The sequence below is a fragment of the Homo sapiens genome, chromosome 7 (genome assembly GCF_000001405.40).
Source record: "Homo sapiens chromosome 7, GRCh38.p14 Primary Assembly".
In the NCBI taxonomy this organism is placed as follows: domain Eukaryota; kingdom Metazoa; phylum Chordata; class Mammalia; order Primates; family Hominidae; genus Homo; species Homo sapiens.
In genome coordinates, this window is record NC_000007.14 from 131,912,486 (window position 1) to 131,938,467 (window position 25,982).

The window sequence follows — 25,982 nt, forward strand, 5'->3', positions numbered from 1 at the left end:
TCACTCCTTCCCCACTGCATCTGTTCCTACCTTGATAACTAGGTTCCTTCCAATACAGGGCTCTGTTCGGCATCCCCACTGATTAGGCTCAGGTCATTTGGCCAAATAAACATTTCTCTGTGATAAGAAATTAAGGCACCATTGTATTAAGAGCAGCTGAGTTTACATTCTTCTGTTGCCTGGAGAGTGCATGCTTGAGGCTGGTAAAGCCCTAGCAGTATCCTGAAGACTGTATTTGTGCCAAACCCCTTCCAGTAGATCTAAAATATGGCTGTTCAGAAGGGATAATAGTGAGGTTAAATGGGATAACAGGATAGATCAGCGTGGAAAATGTGGAAATCTATCCTTTAAAATTCCTTATAGATACTGACTTCCAGCAACAGCCACAATAGAGTAACTGGGATCGAATTTATGCTCTCACTTTAAACAACTAAACCATCAAAACAAAATGCATGAAACAATAGTTTACAGACAGCAGATAGCACAGGAATATGAGCTCTAAGAAAAAGAAAACAAAAGAGGCGAGTCCTAGGATTGTACCAGCTTAATCCTGGAGGCAGTTTCTAAGCCACAGTGTGAGGTGAGGGTGAGGGGAGAAAAATGTGGCTTGTTAATCTTGTTCAGTTGAGAAGACAGTATCAGACTTTGGGGAGAACAAGGTAACTTGAATTTGCAGGGCAGAGTATGGACTTGCCCAGAGAGCGATCTCTAGCGATCTGTAGCAATGTCTTCTTGAAGCTTGGGCTAAGTACTGATAAGCACATGCATGAAAGGAAACTCACCACGGCGGGTGAAAACCCAGCAGAAAGCAGTAGACTAAACAATTGCTAGAGCTCACAGAAGGGTGGGAATAATTCATATTCCCACCAGCTAGAGTGGAAAGAGCTCCTGATAAATAAGGCATGGGGTGGAATCCTCAGAAGAGCATTCCTCAGTAGTAGAGCCAAAACAACCCTAGACTGATAGTTGTTCTGGACCTGCCCTAACAAAGTTTCAAAGCAAGCCTCAAAAATATTCAACGGACTTTGAGTAACTTAACTGTGTATGAGAGCACATGCAATACATATATAACTATAAGGCATTGGAAGAAGCAAGAAAATAAGATGAACAACTGAGGGAAAAATCAATTTGTAGAAATAGACTCCGACATTACAAAGATGATGGAATTAGCAGACAAATATATCAAAAGAATTATAAAAATGATCTGTATATCCAAGAAAGAACATATGAATAGGAGGAGAGATGTAGAAGATATAAAAAAAGGTCAAGTGAAACTTTTAGAGATGAAAAACACAACAACTGAAGTGAAAAAATACACTGGGTGGAATTGACAGTGGATAAGATGCTACAGAAGTGAATATCAGTGAACTTAAAGTAATAGCATAGGCTGGGCATGGTGGCTCAGGCCTGTAATCCCAACACTTTGGGAGGCCGAGGTGGGCGGATCACCTGAGGTCAGGAGTTTAAGACCTGCCTGACCAACATGGTGAAACCCTGTCTCTCCAAAAATACAAAAATTAGCCATGGTGGTGGCATGCGCCTGTAATCCCAGCTACCCAGGAGGGTGAAGCAGGAGAATCGCTGGAACCTGGGAAGCAGAGGTTGCAGTAAGCCGAGATCATGCCACTGAACTCCAGCCTGGGCGACAGAGCAAGACTCCATCTCAAAACAAACAAACAAACAAACAAACAAACAAATAATTCAAAATTAGGCACAGGAGAAAAAGACTTAAAAAAAGAAACAGAATTGTGCGTGACTAGTGGTATAATAGTAAGTGGCCTATTGCATGTAATTGTAATTACAGAAGGAGAGGAGAAAAGGGTAGGACAGAAAAATATTTCCAGAAATAACTGCCAAAAATTTTCTAAATTTGATGAAAATTCTGAACCTATAGATCCAACAATATCAACAATACCAAAGTTGAAAAAGCATAAAGAAAATTACATCAAGGCACATGATAATCAAATTGTTTTTATTTTATTTTATTTTGTTTTATTTTATTCTTATTATACTTTAAGTTTTAGGGTACATGTGCACAATGTGCAGGTTAGTTACATATGTATACATGTGCCATGCTGGTGTGCTGCACCCATGAACTCATCATTTTTAGCATTAGGTATATCTCCAAAAGCTATCCCTCTCCCCTCCCCCCACCCCACAGCAGTCCCCAGAGTGTGATGTTCCCCTTCCTGTGTCCATGTGTTCTCGTTGTTCATTTCCCACCTATGAGTGAGAATATGTGGTGTTTGGTTTTTTGTTCTTGCGATAGTTTACTGAGAATGATGATTTCCAATTTCATCCATGTTCCTACAAAGGACATGAACTCATCATTTTTTATGGCTGCATAGTATTCCATGGTGTATATGTGCCACATTTTCTTAATCCAGTCTATCATTTTTGGACATTTGGGTTGGTTCCAAGTCTTTGCTATTGTGAATAGTGCCGCAATAAATATACGTGTGCATGTGTCTTTATAGCAGCATGATTTATAGTCCTTTGGGTATATACCCAGTAATGGGATGGCTGGGTCAAATGGTATTTCTAGTTCTAGATCCCTGAGGAATCGCCACACTGACTTCCACAATGGTAGAACTAGTTTACAGTCCCACCAACAGTGTAAAAGTGTTCCTATTTCTCCACATCCTCTCCAGCACCGTTGTTTCCTGACTTTTTAATGATTGCCATTCTAACTGGCATGAGATGGTATCTCATTGTGGTTTTGATTTGCGTTTCTCTGATGGCCAGTGATGGTGAGCATTTTTTCATGTGTTTTTTGGCTGCATAAATGTTTTCTTCACAGAATTGGAAAAAACTACTTTAAAGTTCATATGGAACCAAAAAAGAGCCCGCATTGCCAAGTCAATCCTAAGCCAAAAGAACAAAGCTGGAGGCATCATGCTACCTGACTTCAAACTATACTACAAGGCTACAGTAACCAAAGCAGCATGGTACTGGTACCAAAACAGAGATATAGATCAATGGAACAGAACAGAGCCCTCAGAAATAATGCTGCATATCTGTAACTATCTGATCTTTGACAAACCTGAGAAAAACAAGCAATGGGGAAAGGATTCCCTATTTAATAAATGGTGCTGGGAAAACTGGCTAGCCATATGTAGAAAGCTGAAACTGGATCCCTTCCTTATACCTTATATAAAAATTAATTCAAGATGAATTAAAGACTTAAATATTAGACCTAAAACCATAAAAACCCTAGAAGAAAACCTAGGCATTATCATTCAGGACATAGGCATGGGCAAGGACTTCATGTCTAAAACACCAAAAGCAATGGCAACAAAAGCCAGAATTGACAAATGGGATCTAATTAAACTAAAGAGCTTCTGCACAGCAAAAGAAACTACCATTAGGGTGAACAGGCAACCTACAAAATGGGAGAAAATTTTCACAACCTACTCATCTGACAAAGGGCTAATATCCAGAATCTACAATGAACTCAAACAAATTTACAAGAAAAAAACAAACAACCCCATCAAAAAGTGGACGAAGGATATAATCAAATTGTTAAAAGCCAGAGATAATCAGGAAATTGTGAAAGTAGCCAAAAACATGCTCTGTACAAAGTGGCAAAGATAAAATTATAGCAGACTTCTTGTCATAAACTAAGCAAACCAGAAGATAACGGAGCAACATTTTAAGGTATGATAGAAAAAAAAAAAAAGGCAATTCTCCATCTAGAATTCTATCCCTAGCAAAAAATATATTTTATTTATTTATGTATTCGTTTTCCCCAGATACATCAGATAAGAGCAAAAGACTTCATATTGCTCATTAGTTCTTTTTTTTTTTGAAACAGAGTCTCATTCTCATTAGTGTTAGAAATATCTTTTAAAATGAAGATGAAATGAAAACTTTTCGAGACAAACAAAAGGTGAGTGAATATATCACAGCAGACCAGAACTGGAAAAAAAAAGTAAGTTCTTTAGGTAGAAGAAATATGAGAACAGATGAAAGTTTAGATCTATGCAGAGGAATGAAGAGTTCTCCAAGTACTAAATATATGGATGGATATAAAACAAATTCTTTCTCATTTTTAAATGCATGACTTAATAATTAATTGTTTTACATAAAAATAATAGCAATGTAACTTACGGTTTATTGGGTGAAATAAATGTATGACAACAGCAAAAAAGATACTAGGAAGAAATAGAAATATACTACTGTAAGATTCTTACACTATATGTGAGAAGATATTATATTGTTGGAAGGCAGATTGGGATAACTTAACAGACCCCAAAGTAATCACTAAAAAAATGAAACAGAGTGTAGCTAATATTGGAGATAAAATGGTGTCCTAAAAATACAGTAAGAAAAAATGGAAAAACAAGGAAAAATGAAAATATGAGATAAATAGAAAACAAATAAGGCTGGGTGTGGTGGCTCAAGCCTGTAATCCCAGCACTTTGGGAGGCCAAGGTGGATGGATCACGAGGTCAGGAGATCGAGACCATCCTGGCTAACACGGTGAAACCGCGTCTCTACTAAAAATACAAAAAATTAGCCGGGCATGGTGGCGGGAGCCTGTAGTCCCAGCTACTCGGGAGGCTGAGGCAGGAGAATAGCGTGAACCCGGGAGGCGGAGCTTGCAGTGAGCCGAGATCGCACCACTGCACTCTAGCCTGGGCGACAGTGCGAGACGCCATCTCAAAAAAAAAAAAAAAAGAAAGAAAGAAAACAAATAATAAGATGGTAGATTTAAATTTAATCATACAAATGATTACATTAAATGTAAATTGTCTAAACATTCAAAATAAAAGAATTGTCAGATAGGATATAAAAAGGCAAAACCCACTACATATTACCTGTAAGAAACCCACTTCAAATACAAAGACAAAGATAGGCTAAAAGTAAAAGTATGGAAAAAATATGCTATGCTAATGCTGAGACAAAGAAAGCTTATGTGGCTTTATTAATATAAGACAAATCAGACTTCAGGATAAGAAAAATTACCATAGATAAAGAAGGGCATTATATAATGATAAAAGGGGTCAAGTCACCAAGCGGACATAAAATTTCTTAATGCATATATACCTAAACATAAAGGTTCAGAATAAACAAAGCAAAACAGATAGAACTGAAAGAAGAAATAGAAAAACCCACAATTACAGTTGGAGACTTCAATAGTCCTCTCTCGAAAAATTTATTGAACAATTCTACAAAAAAAATCTGCAAGTATCTAGAGGTCATAAGCACTATTAGCAAACTTGATCTCATTAATATTTATAAAACATTTTATCCAACAAGAGCAGACTGCATATTCTTTTCAAGTGCAAGAAATAATGTGCAAGGCCTTCACACTGAAAAATATAAAACATTGCTGAAAGAGACTAAGAAAGACTTAAATAAATGGAGATATGTATTATGTTCATGGATCAGAATCCTTAAAACTGATTAATAAGACAAATACCATGATAAAAAATGGGCAAAGATTTAAACAGTCATGTCACCAAAGAAGACATATAAATAGCAAATGGGCACCTGAAAAGATGATCAACATTATTACTCATTGGGGAAATGCAAATTAATGCTGCAGTGAGCTACCACTATCACTAACATTTAAAGAACTGATGATTTTAAGTTTTGATGAAGATGTGCAGCAATGTGAACTGTCATACCTTGCTGCTGAGAATGCAGCAGCACTCAGCACAGTGCAGCAAAGCACTCAGCACAGCCACTTTGGGAAGCAGTTTGGCAGTCTCTTTCTTTCTTTTTATTTTTTGAGACGGAGTCTCGCTCTGTCACCCAGGCTGGAGTGCAGTGGCACGAACTCAGCTCACTGCAACCTCCGCCTCCGGGTTCAAGCAATTCTTCTGCCTCAGCCTCCCGAGTAGCTGGGATTACGGGTACATGCCTGGCTAACTTTTTTTATTTTTAGTAGAGACGGGGTTTCGCCATGTTGGCCAGGCTGGTCTCAAACTCCTGACTTCAAGTGGTCTGTTCGCCTCAGCCTCCCAAAGTGCTGGGATAACAGGTGTGAGTCATCGAGCCCAGCGGCAGTTTTTAAAAAGTTAAATACAGGTTTGCTATTCCACCCAGAAATCCCACTCCTAAGTATTCACTTGAGAGGAATGAAAACCTTAGGTCAGCCCAAAGACATACTCAAATGCTCATAGCAATTGTATTCTTATTGGACCCAAGTTGGAAATAACCCTCATGTCTAATGACAAATAAATGGATAAGCAAATTGTGGCAAATGAACATAATGGAATACTATTCAGCAGTGAAAAGAAATGAGCTACTGGCATAAGCAACATGAAGAATCTCAAAAACATGGTGCTAAGTGAAGGAAGCCAGGCACAAAAGTCTCCATAGCTAATCATTTCATTTATGTGACCTTCTGAAAAAGCCAAAACTACGGCAGCAGAAAGCATAACAGTGGTTGCCATGGAGGGAGGAGGAGAAGATAGTCTGAAAAGAAGCACAAGGAATAGAAATACTATGTGTCATGACTGTAGTGGTGTTTACACACCCATGTATATCTGTCAAAATGCACTGAGTTATATGCTAAAATTTGATGAAATTTATTGTATGTAAATTACATCTCACTAAAGGTAATTTATCTGTAACAGCATCTGAAACAGGCGCCTCCTCTGCTTGGTTTAGATGCTGTTAAGTCTTACGTGGCCTTCTACATATGGTCGCTCCCAGCTCTCCACTTCTCATGTTGTAGAAAACTATTGATATCTGCAGGGCAGTCCTTGCGGGTGGAGGGCTGAAGTGGAACATGCAGAAGTCTGGGAGGGTTGTGTCTGTCTGCATGAGAAGGATGGTCAAACACTCAAAACCCCTCTATGCAGCTTCTTCTGGGAGGACAGCTAGTGTGTTTAGGAAAAAGAGCAATTCTGTGTCTCTCCTGAAACTACATATCAAAGGGACCAAGAGGTGAGAAGTATGACAAGGATGCTGGAAGCAACTCTGACAGTGGCATCTGAGCTTTGGGAATACCAGCTATGGTGTCTTCCCTGCTGAAATGTTCACAGGAAGCAGGGTTGGGAGGCCTCTGACATGGCCTCTCGTTATCGTTTTTAGACATCGGCGGTAGGGGGCTTTTGAAGGCCAAATTTTATATGGAGGGGCCTGTAATTGGAGGCTGCAGTCCTTTGACAGTTTGTTGTAAAGTCCAAATCCCGTAGCTTGTGTTACGGGATTGCATTGTGTCCCCATTGATAAGTGGAAGTCCTAACCCCCAGCACTTGAGACTGACACCTTATTTGGAAATAGAGTCCTTGCAGATGAGTTCGTTAAGATGAAGTCATGCTAGAGTCAGGTGAGAACACCATACGAAGATTGGAGCTCGGCTTCCACAAGCCAATGATCTGCCAGAAGCTAGGAGAGGGGCCTGGAATAGATAGTGTTTTGACCTCTAGTGTTGGTCAAAGTAGGCTTCAGGAGACTGCCACAGAATGGGTGGCTTCCCTGACCTCCCCATATTCCTAGATATCCTTGTATCTCTTCCTTGGAATCTGAGAAGCCGAGTTCACAAAAGAGCTCACCTTCCTATGAGAATCTAATGCTGCTGCTGATCTGACAGGAGGCAGAGCTTGGGAGGTAATGCTTGCTCACCTGCCCTCCACTCACCTCCTGCTGTACAGCCCGGTTCTTACCCGTCTGCAGCCTGGGGGTGGGGGAACTTTGCTCTAAAGCCTCCAGTTGGCAGTAGCCCCAGGCTCCCTTTGCAGGGTTGCTGCCCACCCTTCCCATGCAGGAGCTCTTTGTTTCAGCAGCACTGTTGCTCAGGAAATCATTTGTGGAACAGCCTTTTGGATGGTTGCTTACTGGTCAGGCTTCCCAGATTGCCAGGAAGAGATACAAGGATATCTGGGAACACAGGGAGGTTGGGGAAGCTACCCATTCTGTGGCAGTCTCCTGGAGCCTACTTTGACCTACACTAGGAGGTACAGAGACTCTGCAAAAGACCCTAGATTTGGCCCCCTCGGGACATATCCTGAGCTTAAGGGACTTTTCTCCATGATATTAATAGTTGCCAAAAGTGGAAGTGTGATCCGCCAGTGGCTTTCACTCAGGGTGACACTCATCTTCTGATCTCAGTAAATAAATTAGTATTCATAAAACACTTAGAACTGCACTGGCACCCGGAAAGCACTATGTGAGTATTACCTCCCGACCTGGCTAAGGGATGTCTTCCTTTGGGTTCCAGCTTTTAGACAATTGCTTTTCATTCACACACTGGGCTCTGATCCAGTTCTCAAGTTTAGCATCTCCTCTTTAACAAGCATCCACTACAAATGTTAGTGAAAGAGAAAAAAAAAAAAAAAAGCTCATTTGGATCTCTTTTCTTAATCAGAAACTGTGACTGTGGCCAGAAGTGAGGGCTTAATGGATTCGCCAATATACCCACTAAAAATGAATAAATATATGAAAGAAACTCTGGATGGATGGATGTGTAGGTGGGTGGATGGGTGGGTGGATGGATGGATAGAAGAATTTGGCTTGACTCAGGTAAGAAGGTAAAGTGAAGGGTGAATTGCCTACAAGGTATATGCATGTCTGGGGAGAGGAAATTTTGGAGGATTTAAGTGTATGCTTGTGTGTCCTTTGGCCCTCCTCAAATAAGGACTCCATGATAGATTGAGATTTTATAGGTTTAATATTCCCTCCCAACTTCATGTACTTTACATCTGGATAAAAGGAGCTATAAATCTCTCCAGGCAGAACGTGCCTCAGCCCTGCCTTTCTACCTTCTCACTGAAGAGATCTTACTTGGAAATACAGCTGAACACTCAGTGATGAATCATAGCATCTGTGGAACAGTCCAGATAAGGAACAATTTGCATTTTCATGTGATAATTCACTACTCTTGCCATTTTCAAATTACTTTAGAGCCACATTAATTCTATTGCCATATACTGCCACTGTGCACCCAAGTCACCAGGAGATGGGGATTCAAGTGGCAGGTTTGTCTGGCTTTACAGGAGTGGGAAATGCTCCCCCTCAACCGCCCAGTAACACAAAACATAGGGAAATGGAGCTGCCCCGCAGAGAGCCCATCTCCTAGCAGATCCCCCGAGAAAGGTCGCAGCTTCAAAACTATCTTGCATTTTCATTCTCCATGTCTGTATATCACTTGCTTAAAAATAAGCTAAGCATACATCACTCCTCCTCCATTCCCCCACGTCACACTGCGGAGGAGACCTTTTCAGGTAGCTCTTCCTCCCTCTCTGTTTCAGGAAGTATATGTGTCGGAAGAGGTTGCAAGCGACAACACCAGATGGCTCCCGTAAAAGGGGTCTTTATGGGAGAAGGGTTTTCTTGGCTGGATGGAGTGCCCCAGCTCTGCAGAGGAATCTACTGTCTAATGCTCATCTTCATTCTTCCCAGTGGCCATAGCTACTTCAAAGAGGCCCAATGTGGCCATGGAGACTAGTCTACCATCCAGGCACAGGGGACTCTGGCAGAGAAGGACAATGTCGAATAAAGACAAAATTAATCCCGATCTCTCCAAGTGGGCTCCTCTACTATAATACCTCCAGACAAAGACATTTCATGGTGTGATGCTATCCCCCCCTTCACAATCCAGGAAGTTTTTCGTACTCATCAGTAATACTTCTTGCTACAGTGCAAATCCGTTTCCTTGCCCAGAAGCAGAGAAGAGTCATTCTTGCACTCTCGAATCTACACATCCCTGCATTCCTTAAACAAATTCTCAGAATGCTGTCAAATAAATTAATGAAGAGCCTTTTAAAAATGAGAAGAATTTCTGCTTCTCTCTCCTAATTTGCATTTGTCCGTTTTCCGAGTTTCCATTCTATTAAACTTTAATTTCCTCTCCTCTCATCCCCAGTCCTTTAGGAAGTCTTAGGTTGGAATTTTACTTTACACAGTCAGAATCTCTTGGGCTCCAGTAGATTACACTTATGGACAGGCAGGATGTATTTTGTCCCTGAAGCGAGTTTTAGATTGCCCAGCCGACTTCTTAGGGAAAACAGGTCTAAAGCAGAGGGTGCAAATGTGGACGATGGGGAAGCAGCTTTAAGTTCTGTTTATTCTGGATATATTACTCTTTTATGCCCAGTTTGCAGCAGTTGTGTGTGTGCTTTTTAAAATTTTGTTTCACTGTGGTAAGAACACTTAACATGAGATCTACCTTCTTCACACATTTTTAAGTGTACAGTACAGTGTTGTTGACTATAGGTGCATTGTCGTACAGCAGATCTCTACAGCTTATTCATTTTGCTCAATTGAAATGTTATGCCTCTTATTAGTAACTCCCCATTTCTTCCTCCCCACCCCCACCAACTCCAGCCCCTGGCAACCATCACTGCATTCTCTGATTCTGTGAATTTGACTATTTTAGATACTTCATGTAAGTGGAGGGACACATCATTTGTGTACTTTCTGCGACTGGCTTATTTCATGTAGCATAATGTCCTTAAGGTTCACCCATATTGCATGCTGCAGTTGCATATTGCAGAGTTTCCTTCTTTTTAAAGGCTAAATAGTATTTCTTTCTTGTTTCTTTATCCATTTATCTGTAGATGGACATTTAGGCTGTTTCCACAACTTGATTATTGAGAATAATGCTATAATGAGCATGAGAGTGCTAATACCTCTTTGAGATTTTATTTTATTTTTTTTTTTTTTGAGACAGAGTCTCGCTTTGCCACCCAGGCTGGAGTACGATGACGCAATCTTGCCTCATTGCAACCTCCACCTCCCGGGTTCAAGCAATTCTCCTGCCTCAGCCTCCCAAGTACCTGGGACTACAGGCATGTGCCACCATGTCCAGCTAATGTTTATATTTTTAGTAGAGACGGCGTTTCACCATGTTGGTCAGGCTGGTCACGAACTCAAGACCTCGTGATCGGTGCACCTCGGCCTCCCAAAGTGCTGGGATTACAGGCGTGAGCCACCCCACCCGGCTGAGATTTTGATTTTAATTCTTTTCAATAGATAATCAGAAGTGGGATTGCTAAGCCATATAGTAGTTTATTTTTGATTTCGTGAGGAACCCCCATACTGTTCTTCGTAGTGGTTGTACCATTTTGCATTCCCACCAATAAGTGTGCAAGGGTTTCACATTCTCTTACATTTTCACTAGCACTGTGTATTTTTTTATCTTTATTTTCAGACAATAGCCATTCTGATAAATATGAGGAGATAGATGTCTCATTGTAGTTTTGATTTGCATTTCACCGGTCATTGGTAAAGTTGAGTATTTTTCATGTATCTGTTGACGATTTGTATGTTTTTTTTGGAGGAATGTCTATCCAAGTCCTTAGCCTTTTAAAAATTGTATTGTTAGTTTTTTTGAGTGATTGAATTGTAGGAGTTCCTAATATATTTTGGAGATTAACCCTATATCAGAGATATGGTTTGCAAATATTTTCTCCCATTTCGTGGGTTGCCTTTTTACTGTGTTGATTGTTGCATTTCTATACATTAACAATGAACTATCTGAAAAGGAAATTAGGAAAACAATTCTACCTACAATAGCTCCAAAAGGAATAAAATGCTTAGGTATATATATATATATATATATATATATATATATTTTTTTTTTTTTTTTTTTTTTTTTTTTTTTTTTTTGCGACAGAGTCTCACTCTGTCACGCAGGCTGGAGTGCAGTGGTGAGATCTTGGCTCACCACAACCTCTGCCTCCTGGGTTCTAGCAATTCTTCTGTCTCAGCCCCCCGCCCCCCTCCCCCGAGTAGCTGGGATTACAGGTGCACACTACCACTCTCAGCTACTTTTCTGTATTTTTAGTGGAGACGGGGTTTCACCATGTTAGCCAGGCTGGTCTCAAACACCTGACCTCAGGTGATCTGCCCGCCTTGGCCTCCCAAAATGCTGGGATTATAGGCATGAGCCACCACACCCGGCCTTAGGTATAAATTTCATTAAAGAGATGAAAGGCTTGTCTATTGAAAACTCTAAAATAGTGACAAAGAGGGTAAAGAAGACACAACCAAGAAAGACCTATGTTCATGGATTGAAAGATTTAATATTGTTAAAATGTTTCTACTGCACAAATCAATCTACATATTCAATGCAAATACCTATAAAAAATTCCAATAAATTTTTTTCAGAAATGGAGGCAAAATTCTACAATTCATGTAAAACCACAAAAGACCATGAATAGCCAAACTAATCTTGAGAAAGGAGAACAAAATTGAAGGCATCATACTTCCTGATTTCAAAATATATTACAAAGCTGCGTAATAAAAACAGTATTGTACTTGCATAAAGACAGACATCTAGACCAATGGAACAGAACAGAGAGCCCAGAAATAAATCCACATATATATGGTCAAGTGATTTTCCACAAGGGTGCGAAGGTCACACAAGGGGGAAAGGATAGTCTCTTGAATAAATGGTATTGGGAAAACAGGATATCCATACGCAAGGGAATGAAATTGGACCCTTATCTTACACCATACATAAATATCAACTCAAAATGGATTAAAGACTTAAACATGAAACCTGAAACCCTAAAACTCCTAGAACACATACAGGAAAGCTTTGTGACATAGTTCTTGGCAATGATAATATGGAAATGACACCAAAAGCTCAGGCAACAAAAACGAAAGTAAGCAGGTAGGACCACATCGAATGTAAAAGCTCTGTACAGCAAAGAAAGCAGAAGTTGTGTTTTGAATGATTTTCTTCTTTCTGTTAAATCTCCCAGTTTCTGTACTTGTGAACTGAGGGGCAGGTGGTTGGGGGCTGTGGCAGTCAATCCCACTCTTCTGCTTTTATTTTTAAAATACCATAGGAGGAAAGCATGGGAATAAAGAATGCTTTTAGTTCCTTGGAAAGGGGCACCAGAAAAGAAATGTATTAGATTGAACCATATAAAATTGTCATTTTTTAGGTAAAAAATGGTTGCATAGCACCAATTTCATATGGGTCAACCTAGTACAGCCAAACTTCTTTAATTCAGACTAATTTGTGGAAGCTTGGTCTGAATTAGTGAAAAGTTTGAATTATGAAATCTTTTAAAAGAGATACAATGTCATTGCATTCAAGTATTGACAGTGACAGGAAACAGGTCAACAAAGAAAGGCTTTCTACAGTCCCATGAGGGAACGACTGGTTAATAGACAATTTGTAATGAGCCTACAAATATGTTGGGTAAAGATGCTTTAATATAGGGTGTATGTACTTGAGAATGCTTAATCAGTTTATTCTTTTGAGTAGCTTTAAATAGTTGCCTTTTGATTTGCATATATGATTAGTTTGCTTGACAAATCCTTCTTTCAAAGAAAGCAACTGTATGGTTGAAGTTTACTTGTCTGAACTATTTCTTATTCCAAAATAGTGGATTCCAAATTAATGATGCTTGACTACTCTATTCCTGACCTTAAGGTTGGACATTAGGTTAATGAAAATCAGTGGAGAGCAACTCTCACAAGTATCCTGGAAGAGGAAAATATACTTGATGGAAATATATGTGACTTGAAAAATGAGGCTGGTTTTCTTGTATGTCTTGTATACTGATTGTGGAGGCAGTTTCAGAAGCAAAGTTCAAACAATGTTTTGGGTAATAGCAGCAAACTTGGAATAAGCCAACAACATCCCACAGAAATGTTTCAAAGAGCAACCCTGATGTGAATGTACAAATTCCATCCATTATGGTTTAAAACCATTCTTTCGGAAAGATATTTATTCATATAAAAACATTTTAAAAAGTTCCTAAATAATAGTAATTTGTCCATTATATTTAAGTTGATTTACAAGTGATTTGATCAATTTTCTGCTTACTTGAAACTCTAGGGAATGCATGAGTGGGAGGAGAGGAGGCAACGTTTGGTGACCAGCAGAAACAGAGATTGATAGACTCTTTGATAGAATTGGAATTAGGCATAATTCTTCAGGAGTGCACCTGGGATGCATGGCAAAGTTTATCCTCACAGGCTTCCCTCCCTGGCTGGTATGTCCTTCTGATCAGAGATGGGGAATCTAGAGCAAAACACTGCTCTTCTCTCAATGTAACTTGGTGCCAAATCTCATCCTACTGCTTCCTGTCCCTTCTTCTCTTGCTTTGAAATGTCAAATAGGACTTAAAGGCTGGATAAATCTGATGAGGCTATTACAAGAAATGGACTCAGTTTTCAGTTGCATGTCTCCACTAACGTGGATATGAAATAAAAAAGGAACCGGATAAGATAAAAGCAATTATTTAAAACAACAAACAAACAACAAACTGACCAATGATGGAACTGTTTTCTGTCTTCATTGCAGTTACACAAGTATATGCGTTTGTCAAAATGCATAAACCTATGCATCAAAAAGAGTAGTTGGACTGTATGTAAATTAGAAACAACTAAATAAACATGAAATAAGGCCAGGCCTTTCCTTGGTAACCTATCAAGCAGGCACCCTGGTGGTAGGTCTTCTGGGTTCCTCTCACAGCTCTGTCATTGCCTGGTACTCATCACCCATCTCTGGCTGCTAAGTTCGTGCCCACCAGGTCTGCAGTTTCTGTACTTGTGAACTGAGGGGCAGGTGGTTGGGGGCTGTGGCAGTCAATCCCACTCTTCTACTTTTATCTTTAAAATACCATAGGAGGAAAGCATGGAAATAAAGAATGCTTTTAGTTCCTTGGAAAGGGGCACCAGAAAAGAAAAGTGTTAGATTGAACCATATAAAACTGTCATTTTTCTAGGTCAGAAATGGTCGAATAGCACCAATTTCATATGGGTCAACCTAGTACAATCAAACTTCTTTAATTCAGACTAATTTGTGGAAGCTTGGTCTGAATTAGTGAAAATTTTGAATTATGAAATCTTTTAAAAGAGATACATTGTCATTACATTCAAGTATTGACAGTGACAGGAAACAGGTCAACAAAGAAAGGCTTTCTACAGTCCTATGAAGGAATGACTGGTTAATAAAGACAATTTGTAATAAGCCTACAAATATGTTGGGTAATTGGGTATTTGTGCCTACAAATATGATGGCCCTCTGCCTTGTCCCTGTCACTGAGTGTGATGTCCCTAAAGATGAGGCCGTATGCCCAGCACAGTATCCTATACATGGCAGGAGCTGCACGAAGCTGTTGTGAGATTTGAACCTCAATCTTGCATGCTGCCATTTTAAGTCAGAACACTCTGATTCTGTCCTTAGCAGAGATTCATTTGTTAATTCAGGCAACCCTTAATGAACACCTACTATATGTCAAAAATGGTCCTAGGAATCAGGGATATAAAAACAAGATGCAGCCCCTGCACTGGAGCTGTTCTGGTGGGAGAGCCAGACGTGTAAACAGAGAATTAGAGCACAGTGTAATTAGTGCTAATGGAGGCGTGGGCAGAGCGCTCTGGGGGCACGGAGGAGGAATGACTCCCTCAGCCTCACTCATATCCCCCCAGCTGCTCCAAGATGCTTCACGTCACAGTGGCGCCTGAAGAAAGAGGCTTTGCCCAAGGAGAAAACAATGCTGTGTCAGTCCAGTGTGTCAACACACATATGCACACACACACACAGGCACAGGTGCACACACATGCACACACAAGCACACACACATGCACACAAACATGCACACACACACGCACAGGTGCACATACACACACACACGCCCTTGAAGGCCTCCTTCCCTCCTGTGGAATGGATTACGCCAGCCCTGCCCCATCATCCTCTCTGGACCACAAGTGAAATAGCCCAGGCACTGCTTGATTCAGTAAATGCCCCTGGAAGGTTGGTAGTGGTTGTGGGTGAATTCCTGCATCTCACTACGATCCTTCCCAGAGCCTTTTCCTCACAGGCTTCAGGCAGGGTAGGCTGCCTGACAGTCACCATGGCAACAGGCCTCTCTTTATGCCTTCTACACGTGTAGGGGGCTTCCTTACTGGAGTGGGGGCCCATGACCAGCACCCCAGCCAAGCCTCAGACTCTGGGTCCACCTTTCTGGGTCGTTCCAAGGTCGTTGTCTTCTGCTAGGTATCAACCATGTATGAGGAACAGGTGGAGTTCTCCTTGTCCAGGCCTGACACCCAGGCTTACTGTGGAATTAAAGAGCTGTGGACAGTAGCTGCTCAAAAGGAAGGTGACAGGTGAGTTCCTGAACATCCAGATTGTCAACAGCCAAAGACAAGATGGCCACCTGGAAGAGGAGCTGGGGGACAGTTCTGGACAAATTCAAGTATGTTGATTGCAGGGTAACCAGGATGACACAGACTGAAGTGAGGTGGGAACCAAGAAAGTAGGGATGCACAGGCTGGAGAAGAAAAGTGTCATAGGGAACACAGGTGGACTCAATGCACATTGCATAGGAAAGGAGGTAGATGCAGTCTGTGGGGCTGTTTTAGCATCAGTGACACCAATGATTGGAAGAGAAAAGGCCACCATAATTTCTTCCTCTTCCTCATGTTTTGGTAAAGTCTCCTAAGCACCTAAGCCTTTCAAAGGTGAAAGGGGCTGCCTTTGAGGAGGTGAGCTCCTCGTCTGCAAAGATAATCAAGTGGCAGCTACATGGCCACTGGGTGGGCATCTGAATATGTGTTGGGGCTTCTAGTGTCCCATCCAAACCTGACTGGCCCTGCCGCTGTCCTGTGAGTAGCTGTGACATGTATCCCATGGTGCTCTCACCTGTAAAATGAGGATTTGAGCTAGGCGTGTCTCAGAACCTGTCTGCTTTACAGCCCTGTGTTCAGACCTCGTTTTCTAAACCTGATCCTGATGACAGAGGCTTAACTTTACAGGTTGAAGGCACTTCCTATTTTTCTGAGCACTTTCACATCCATCACCTTGATATTTCTTCCCCATTACTCTGGAAAATAAATAGAACAGATCGGATTTCTGGGACAGAGGGGTTGAAGTGGATTTTCCCAAGGTTCCTAGTGAGTTAGCAGCAGAGCCAACTTGGATGCCAGGTCTTGGGACGGCCAGTCCAGCACACTGTCTGCTTGTGCCTGCTTTTACCCAGGTCAGGTTTGCTGGCTTTTCCACCATGGGCAGATGATGCCACAGAGAGGGGTTATCAGTGAGCAGTACCATGCAACATGCAGTGCAGCAGAAACAACAGCTAAGAAAAGTAAGCAGAGTTTCCAGAAATAAAAAATATATATATTTCTACATCTGGTTGTCAGTTGTTCTCAACTTTGGACTTTTCTACTAGGTAAACTTTGAGACACTAAAATGAAGTTGCTAACAATATGTGATGTGAATACATGAGTTCTGTAAAAGTGACTTGTGCAAATGGATCTGAGTGGGATATATGTTGAATAATAAAAATGTGTAATAAATCTTAACTGATCTTCCTTAAAACTCTTAGTGGGAGTGTGGAGATGGGAGGGGTTGGCCAATGGGTCTGCTTAACATTGCATCCAAGCTGCAAATTCAACAGGCAGAATGTTCCTTGGGAAATTGAAACATCAAAGGCTGAATAAGATCTCACTGCTCTGATTCTTTATTCAGGCCCCTGGGGAATAATGTATCCCATATGATGACTCAATAAGCTCTAACATCTTCTCCATGTGCTACAGGAAAGCCCCCTTCTCTGTCTTAAAATCACCATGTCTCCTTCTTTTATTAAGTTCAGTGGGAACAATGAATGCAAATTTGAAACCATACCGTATATATGTATATGACAGACCCTTCAGTGGATTACAACTTTCCATAGGGAAAAATCTAAAGCATTCGGTGTTGGCTTTATCCTTGCCTCCAAGTGAATCGTGATGATAACTAGACTCAGCACCTTACTGTTTCTCTCCAGGGGCTGAGATGACATTTTGTCTGCATCACCAACTCTTGGTGAAGTGGGAAGGAGAGAAGGAGAGAACGGCTTTTCTGTTCCACTTAGGCCTGCTCCTTGCTCACCTGTATGATGTGGAAGGGATGGAGGGTCAAGGGTAGAAGTAAGGGAAACTGATGATGGAAGGATGAGGCTAAGGGTTCATCATGCAGATGTCCCATCTCACCTTTTCAAGAGGCCAGAGGATTTTGGACTGGGTCCTTTTGCTATAAACAGGTCGATCTGTGGTCAAGCTGGACTTAGGAGCAACCTCTGTGGTGCTGATGGTGAGGCACAGGAATCTGGGACCACTGAGTCCCATATGTAAGGTATTCAAGGTACCATGAAGTTCTGGGCATTTCTTAGACACCCTGACCATGGCATTTGACACTTATTCACATTGGATGTTGGAAATGTTGGGCTGAGGGGCAGACGGTGTGTTGCTGGGGAGACAGAGGCTGTGCTGGTTTGTTGGGCCATCCTGTTGGCATAAGCAAAGCCATTCTCCATTTTTGCTCTGCTCACTGAATTTCTGGCTCCTTTTCCTAGATGCTGAAGTTGACCTACATCAGGATAGTCTGGTCTGAACATTGTTGCAGCAGCCCTTGCTGGTGGTCTTTCAGGGTTTGCTTGCTCACTTCTAGGGTCTCAGGCTGTGCGGGCTACCTGGGACGTTTTGGACAGAGCCAGTGTTGGAAAGTTCCATCCTTATGTGGGGCTGAACTACACTTCCTTCCATTGCCCACTGTTGGTTTTAGTTTGTAATCTGGAGCTATATAACATAGGTCTAGTGTCTCCCATGAGCCACCCCCTCACATACGTGAAGACAGATGCTCCATCTCACCTGATTTCACTTCTCATGACATGGTTTTCAGATCCTTCACTACCCTTGCCACACTTTCCTGGGTGCACATGAGTCTTTCTTTGCTGTGTTTGCACTATGGTGACAGATGTAGACTCAGAACTACACGGGAAGAGGCTTCTTGTCCTTGGAAGGGCTTCTTGTCCTAGGCAGGAGCTCCAAGCCCTGAGAGGAACATGCCCTTTATTTCAACCCATGCTCCAGGATAGACAGCCCTGCTCTACCAGCCTTCCTCACATGGAAGAGGAGGAGGCAGAAGCTTCCCAGGGTATACTCCTGAGAGCAGAGCCCCTGCGAGGGACAGACATGAGACCAGAAGTCGGGACATTGCTCTTGTGACCACAGACCCAATGCCCACATGATGGAGACATCTATCTTCCCAATTCTTGTGGCCTGAATCCTTCCTGAAATCAATGCAGGGCTCCAGAAGGGCATGGAGTCCACCTGTCTCCCCCTCAATTCCCTCTTCCATGCAGGATATTTTAGATGGCAGGCACGATTGTGATGACCTCAGCACCGAGGTGTGAGGCTGACTCACTCAGCATCTCTAAGCAGACTGAGCTCATTGCAAGCATGGCCAGATAATGTGGGCTGAAGGAGACTGAAGCCTTTTGCTGGTCATCACAGTGATAGCTTCTTAAATGGTGTTGTTGAAACAATCTCATTCATAAAGACGAGCTGTAAGTACAGCAAAACATCGTTCTTTTTCCAGAACTATTTCAGAGTATGTTGCTGAAGTGATGTTGATCACCCATGAATACTTTAGTTTATGTATCCTATCAACAAAGACATGCTTTTAGGTGACCGGAGGACAACCATCAAAGGCAGGAAAGGAACTGATTGAATCCCCAGCCCCCATTTAAGTTGTGCCAGTTGCCCCAGGAATAATCTTTATAGCAAAAGGATCCAGTCCAAGATCCCACACTGTATTTACTTGTTTTGTCTCTATGGTGTCCTTCCATCTGGAATAGTTCCCCAGTCTTTCCCTAATGCTTGGGATCTGGATGCTTTTGAAGACTACAGGCCAACTGTTTTGATGCATGCCCCTCACTTTGTCTTTGTAGGACATTTCCTCATGATTAATTTCAGACCATACATCTTTGGCAAGAGTTTCACAGAAACTTCTCATCGCATCTTATCAGGCGGCACACGATTCTGTTTTGTCTTGGAATGAAGGATGCTGACTTTGATCACTTGCTTGCCGTAGTGTCTGCCAGCCGTCTCCACCATCAAGCTACTCTTTTCTTCTTTGTAAGTAATCATGTGTGGAGATATTTGGAGACCAGCCTTGTTCACTTATCTATTTTTATCGGTATGAGCTCAGGGTTTTATATCTTGTTCAATGAATTGCAACCTATGATCTTCATTATTTATTTATTTTTGCTCTGTTTACCTCTGAGTTGGCCAGTAGGAGTCCCTCCAGGCTGGCTTCTGTGTGCTTTTCTCATCTTCCCTTCACACTTTGAGCACGTCCTTACTTCTGGCACAACGAGACTTTCCAGGCTCATCTCATAACTTCCTGCACCAGCCTGGAGAGTCCTCGTTCCTTGCAGAGAAGAATGCTATTTAGAAACCCAGATCCAGGAGGTTAGGTGTGCTCACTGGTGTTGGAGTGTCCCTCAGGCCCTCTTGGGGGACAGAGTGAAGAAATATATACATGTATGTTTACATATAGCTATGTGTACACATAAAGTTGCATTCATATTTACATATTTATTTATCTATTTATTAAAAATCCCAAGTTCACATATATACTATAAATTCTAACACCTCAGGATTCACTTTAGGTTTTTTTTTTTTCCCTTTTTATATTTGTGGCTCCCCTCTCTGCCAGCCGGAATCCTGGCTCTAGTCATCTTGAACATATTTCCTTAATTGATAAATCTCTCTATGGGTAACCAGTCTTCCATTGCTGCCATCACTCCTTCCTGGCATGGATGCCCTCCTCATGCAATTTTATCTCTAGCCTGTGCTGGGCTGTCCTCTGCCCTAAGGCAGAAGCCCTCCTCACTCCTCAGGTCTCCACACTCCATGCTCATTGTCTCATGCTGCCCAAGCTCCTCATCTCCGTGGAGCCCCACACACCATGCCGGGTTTAGCCCTGGCCACCCTCTCATGCCTCTGTCACAGCCTCAGCCTCGATATACTGTTGGTCTCCAACACCTCCGTGGGCCACTGCATGTCCCCTCTGCTCTGGCACAGGTGCCTGCTCTTCTAGGTCTCCCTAATGGTTTGCGGATTGAATAGTTTAAGCAGGGAAGGAATAGGAAGGAAGGAAGGAAGGAAAGAAGGAAGGAAGAAGGAAGGGGAAGAGGAAGAGAAAGGAGAAGAAAGAGGAGGAGGAGGAAAAAGAGGAAGAAGAAGGAGGAGGAGGAGAAGGAGGAGGAGGGGGAAGAGGAGGAGGAAAAGAAGCAGAGGAAGAAGAAGAAGAGGAAGAAGAAGAAGAAGAAAGAAGAGGAAGAAGAAGAAAGAAGAAGAAGAAGAAGAGGAAGAAGAAGAAGAAGAGGAAGAGGAAGAAGAAGAAGAAGAAAGAAGAAGAAGAAGAAGAAGAAGAAGAAGAAGAAGAAGAAGAAGAAGAAGAAGAAGAAGAAGAAATATGAATAGAGAGTGCTTCTTGGATCCTGAACTGCAGAGGGTGGGTCCTTCCTCCTCTGCTCCACTGAAGAGGTAAGGACTGTCGCCTGACAAATGGTGGGATGTGCAAAGGCCCCGTTAGCCAGGCAACCTGTATGTTGGCACATTAGGGTAAAATGCAGTGGGGATGGAGGCCGCCTTTGGGTAAAATGTAGATTATCCCATTCTGAGGCACATTAACGAAGTGCTAATTGTGCTTTCTGAATGCAATTTGGTGCCAGTTGCAGGAATAACTCTGGCACCTGCTTGGACTTTAGACTTGCAGATTAACTCACATGGAAAGAGTAGAAAAACAGGGAATAATTTGTTCTCTAATAAGCCACTTGGAAGCCAACTCATTTCTACAGTTGGTGTCAGAAAAGTGCAGCTCAGTGATTGGAACAGGAAACTGTGTATCTGGTACGTAGAGTTCTGTGCTGTATCTGCCAGGACTTGCTGAGCAACTCACCTCACTTTGCATCTACTGGCCTCAAGTTACCTTCCCACTATTAGGGATAAGAATACTTTTATTCAGTTTGGACAAACTGGATCTGAAGAACCCGGTTTTGCATCTTTCACTTATAGTCACATGGACAGCTCTGATAAATACGCCCAGAAGGCAGGAAAGCAGGAAGTGAGTGTCTGCATTTATGAGCAGTTCTCAGGGATGTGATTCTCAAAGTGGGGCCCCCAAACCAGAAACATTGTCATCACCTTGGATGTTGTTGGAGATGTAAATCCACAGGCCCCACCCAGACCTACTGCACCAGAAACTGGGGGTGGGGTCTAGTAATCTGTGGCTTAACACACCCTCTAGGTGATCTGATGCACGATGAAGTTTGAGAAGCACTGACTGTTCTAGGAAGTGTGGATCCGTTAAGCAGTGTTTACTGAGTATTAAGTTACTTAACAAATGGTTACTTGGGTCAAACTATGTGCCCTACAATATGCTAGGCACTATGGGTTGAATAATTAACAAGACAACCCTCACAGAGCTTATTGTTTAATAAGTGATGCATTAAACAAGCAAACGGGTGTAATGCTGGGAATGAAAAAGCAGGTGCTTGGAGGGCCAACAGTGCAAGGTGCTTGTTTAGGTAGGGCAGTCAGGGAAGGCCACTCAGAGGAAGTGGCATTTATGCCTCAGCCATGCTGTCAGGAAAGCCAGGGAACATTGGCTGGAGGGAGGTGCAATGTAGGGGCGTTTGTGCCAGATGAAGATGGGACTTGAAGCTCAAAACTGCAGGAGCCTCTCCCCATCCTTCCTTGCCTTTTCTGAGACAACCCTGGAGGAGGGGCGGTGGCTCCCTGGCACAGGAACTCTGTTTATCATCTAGCCGAGTGGAGATAGCATCATCATCATTTTCCAGGGGCCAGATATTTGCAATATTAAAAAAGAAATCATGTGATTTGCTGACAGCACGTAATGGGTAATTCGAGGGGCCTTATTATTCCTATACATAGTATCTGGCTTGTGACAGGCAGCCAGCTGTCTGGCATAGACGGAGAGCACACATACCTTCAGTTTGGAATTTTTCCTTCCTGAGTGACAACTGACAGCTAAGATCCTGTTTGGATGGGTGGCCTCGAGTCTTCATTAGGGGCCACTTGGTGTTAAGAGATGCAGTTGAGGGGCCCTCTGAAGGTAGGGACTGACTCATGGCTGATCGACCCAAGGTCTCCTACAGAGGGAGCAGCCAGAGATAGCACTCCCACACCTGCTGACTGTTGACTCTGTGTGGGCAGGGCATGAGGTGTGCTTCTCCTCCTACTGGAGTTGGTCAGAGGCTCTATTTTATAGTTTTGAGATGAGGGCACATCTTCATCACTGAGCAATATTTCTCATTCTGTGTGTGTGTGTGCACGTGTGTGCATGTGTGCATTTTTTTTATCCACTAGGGCAGCATTCTTCACCATTCTTGGGCAGGCATTTGCTTCCTCAGAACAGCATCTGGCAGATAAGAAGACAACTGTGGAATGAATGGATGGATGCATGGATGGATGGGGAACTGCACTGAAAGTCAAGGAGTGCAGGTCTTCAGAGCAGGAGCAGAGTTCACATCCCAGAGAGGACAGCGCCCTTGGGCACTTGTCTTGTGCTTGGTTGGGACTGCCCCATTACATTTGGAGACCTACACTGGGGGTTTCTCAGCTCTTGGAAGGGTGATCTCGATGACTAGGTGGCATATGCCTAGCACTGAGCCTAGCACACATTAGGCATCCAAAAAGCTGCTGTTGCATGACTGCATTCAATCATTATTTTTCAGGTCAGGGATTATTATTTGTAACATATCAACCTTCCTGGGCTCTCCCTGCCTAGTGTAGAGTGGGATGCAGGACAAGGCAAAGCCCAGAGCGGGATGCTCTCCTTCTGTTTACCCCTCCAAGGAATATCACAGATAGTGTTGTGGGGAAAGAGACCCCAGAAAGGATGCAAGAGCATGAGTCTTTCCTGGATTGGCCCAGGGCTTTTCTGTCATTCGCCTGTGCATATTGTGCACATTTTTTTTATCCTTGGAAAGTAAATATTGCCTTGTCTGTTTGCCTACATCTGGTCTTAGGACACTGCCCAGCTAATCACTTTGAGGCAGTGAGGGGCTGGAACAATTGCCCCTCTTGATCACATGATTGGGAAACTCTGAATATGCCTGCCTTTCCTCTTACCTCTTGGTTATCCTGAAGGAGGCTAGGAAGGCCCATCTGTATAAGGGGGTAGGTAATTGGCGTGAGATGAAATAAGTCTGCACAGCATTATTTACAATAGCTGAAAAGCAGAAGCAACCCAAGTGTCCAGTGATACACTGACGGGGGAATGAATAAACAAAATGTGGTAAGTACACATGTGGAATTGTTATCCAGACCTTACAAAGAAGGAAACAGTGACACATGCTGCAACATGGATGAACCTTGAAGACATGCTAGAAAAAATAAACTAGTCACAAAAGGGCAAACACTCTTATGATTCCACTTATATGAGATGTCTAGAATGGGAAAAATAATGAAGACAGAAAGTAGAAAAGAAGTTACCAGGGACCAGGGGAGGGGAGAATGGAGAGTTGTTGTTTACTGAGTGTGTCATTTCCATTTGGGAAGATGAAAAAGTTCTGGAGTTGGTGGTGGTGATGGTTGCAGAACAATGGGAATGCACTTAATGAATTGTATACTTAAAAATGGTTACAATGGTACATTTTATGCTATATCTATTTAATCACAACTTTTGAAAAAGTCTGCAGAGGAGAGACTTGGTGATATAGTTTGGCTGTGTCCCCACCCAAATGTCATCTTGAATTGTAGCTCCCTTAGTCCCCACACATTGTGGGAAAGACCTGGAGGGAGGTATTTGAATCATGGGGGTGGGTTTTCCCTTTCCCATGCTGTTCTTGTGATAGTGAATAAGTCTTACGAGATCCAAAGGTTTTATAAAGGGCAGTTCCCCTGTACATGCTCTCTTGCCTGCCTCCATGTAAGACGTGCCTTTCCTTCTCCTTTGCCTTCCACCATGATTGTGAGGCCTCCCCAGCCATGTGGAACTGTGGGTCCATTAAACCTCTTTCATTTATAAATTACCAGTCTCAGGTATGTCTTTATTAGCAGTGTGAGAACAGACTAATGCACTTGGTGTCACAAGTTGTGCCTTCTGGATGCAGATGCTAGGATGGAGTTTGGTCTGTGAGATGTTGTTAGGGATCAATACCTCTGAAAGGAAGGGGAGGAAGTAGGACTGAGAAGAGGCAGAAGCTGAATTGAGTCTGTCACACAGGCCCTCAAAAACCTTGGAAGCTTTGGAGTGTGAATTGCCCATCAGGACAAAATGACCAGGCCTCTGATGCCTGTGCCTCTCAGACCCCTGATGTGGCTCAGTTGAAGCTGACCTTGAAGGAGCTGTCAGTTGTGGGGTGGGGAGGGGAGGGTCTCTACTGACCACAGAAATGGGGAATCTCAGTGGCACTTTGCTGTTTACCACAGTGGGGAGACAGCAGGTCAAAGAGTCCTATGCAGAATGGTTAAGCTGTTGATGCCTTCGTTTAATAGGTTGGTGCCTCTGATACCCTGTCGTGGGGTGAAGTCACTTGCACATCCAGTGAGCAAGTCTAGAACCATCTTCTTCCAACTCTCAGCCCACGCCCCTTACAGCTTTCCTTGCCAGTCAGTGCTCAGATCCCACACTTGGCTCAGTCGCTCAGCAGTGGGGTAATCAAACCCACCACACTACCTCGTGGAATTTCCAGGAAGATAAAGTCAGGTAGTTTAGCTTTATGCAAATACAATACTCTGAATGACTCAAAAGGAAAAACAGGATTATTCCCAGGTCAAATGGGGAATTGGTAATACAGCAGTAATAATAAATCAGAAATGAATGGATTTGAGTGCTAATTCAACAGGTGCTTCACTAGGAGTGTTTGAGCAGATCATGATTTTTATACTTTATGCCCCATGCATCTGATTTGCCACACATTTGCTGAGCACCTATTAAGTGCATAGGACTCTATGGGATACAGAGAGGGAGATAGGTGGGTCCCAGCCCTGGAGTATGTTCCTTCCCCTGCAGAGGCAGGACAAGCTAACAGCTGCACCAGGCAGCATCTGAGCGAGATGAGGGCAAAGGTGTTGGGCCCTGCATCAGCCTGAGCCCTCCGAAAAGCACTGCTTCCCCACGTTCCACTCAAGGGCCATGAACTGTCTATCGAGCAAACTTTTAATGAAAAATAACAGTTTAACCAAAAAGTCAATATCAATTTCTCTGCCCCAAGTCACAAAGATTTTCAATCCTTCAAACTCCATCTGAGCATCTGTGT

At 42.6% G+C, this 25,982-nt stretch overlaps 1 long non-coding RNA gene across 1 annotated transcript in view, besides 1 other annotated feature; it reads left to right on the forward strand.

Moving 5' to 3' along the window:
* Nucleotides 1-25,982, forward strand: part of LOC101928782 (uncharacterized) — a 38,734-nt gene that overhangs the window by 2,266 nt on the left and 10,486 nt on the right. The window contains exons 2-5 of the long non-coding RNA NR_110836.1: nucleotides 13,754-13,910; nucleotides 15,920-16,121; nucleotides 16,905-17,012; nucleotides 19,638-19,824. This is a non-coding gene — a long non-coding RNA (uncharacterized LOC101928782). The remainder of the gene's footprint in view (nucleotides 1-13,753; nucleotides 13,911-15,919; nucleotides 16,122-16,904; nucleotides 17,013-19,637; nucleotides 19,825-25,982) is intronic.
* Nucleotides 7,932-7,981: an enhancer, noted in NCBI's record as "active region_26678". NCBI's record gives its function as "activates an Ori minimal core promoter by ATAC-STARR-seq in GM12878 lymphoblastoid cells {active_cell/tissue: GM12878}" and the evidence as "EXISTENCE:reporter gene assay evidence [ECO:0000049][PMID:35858748]".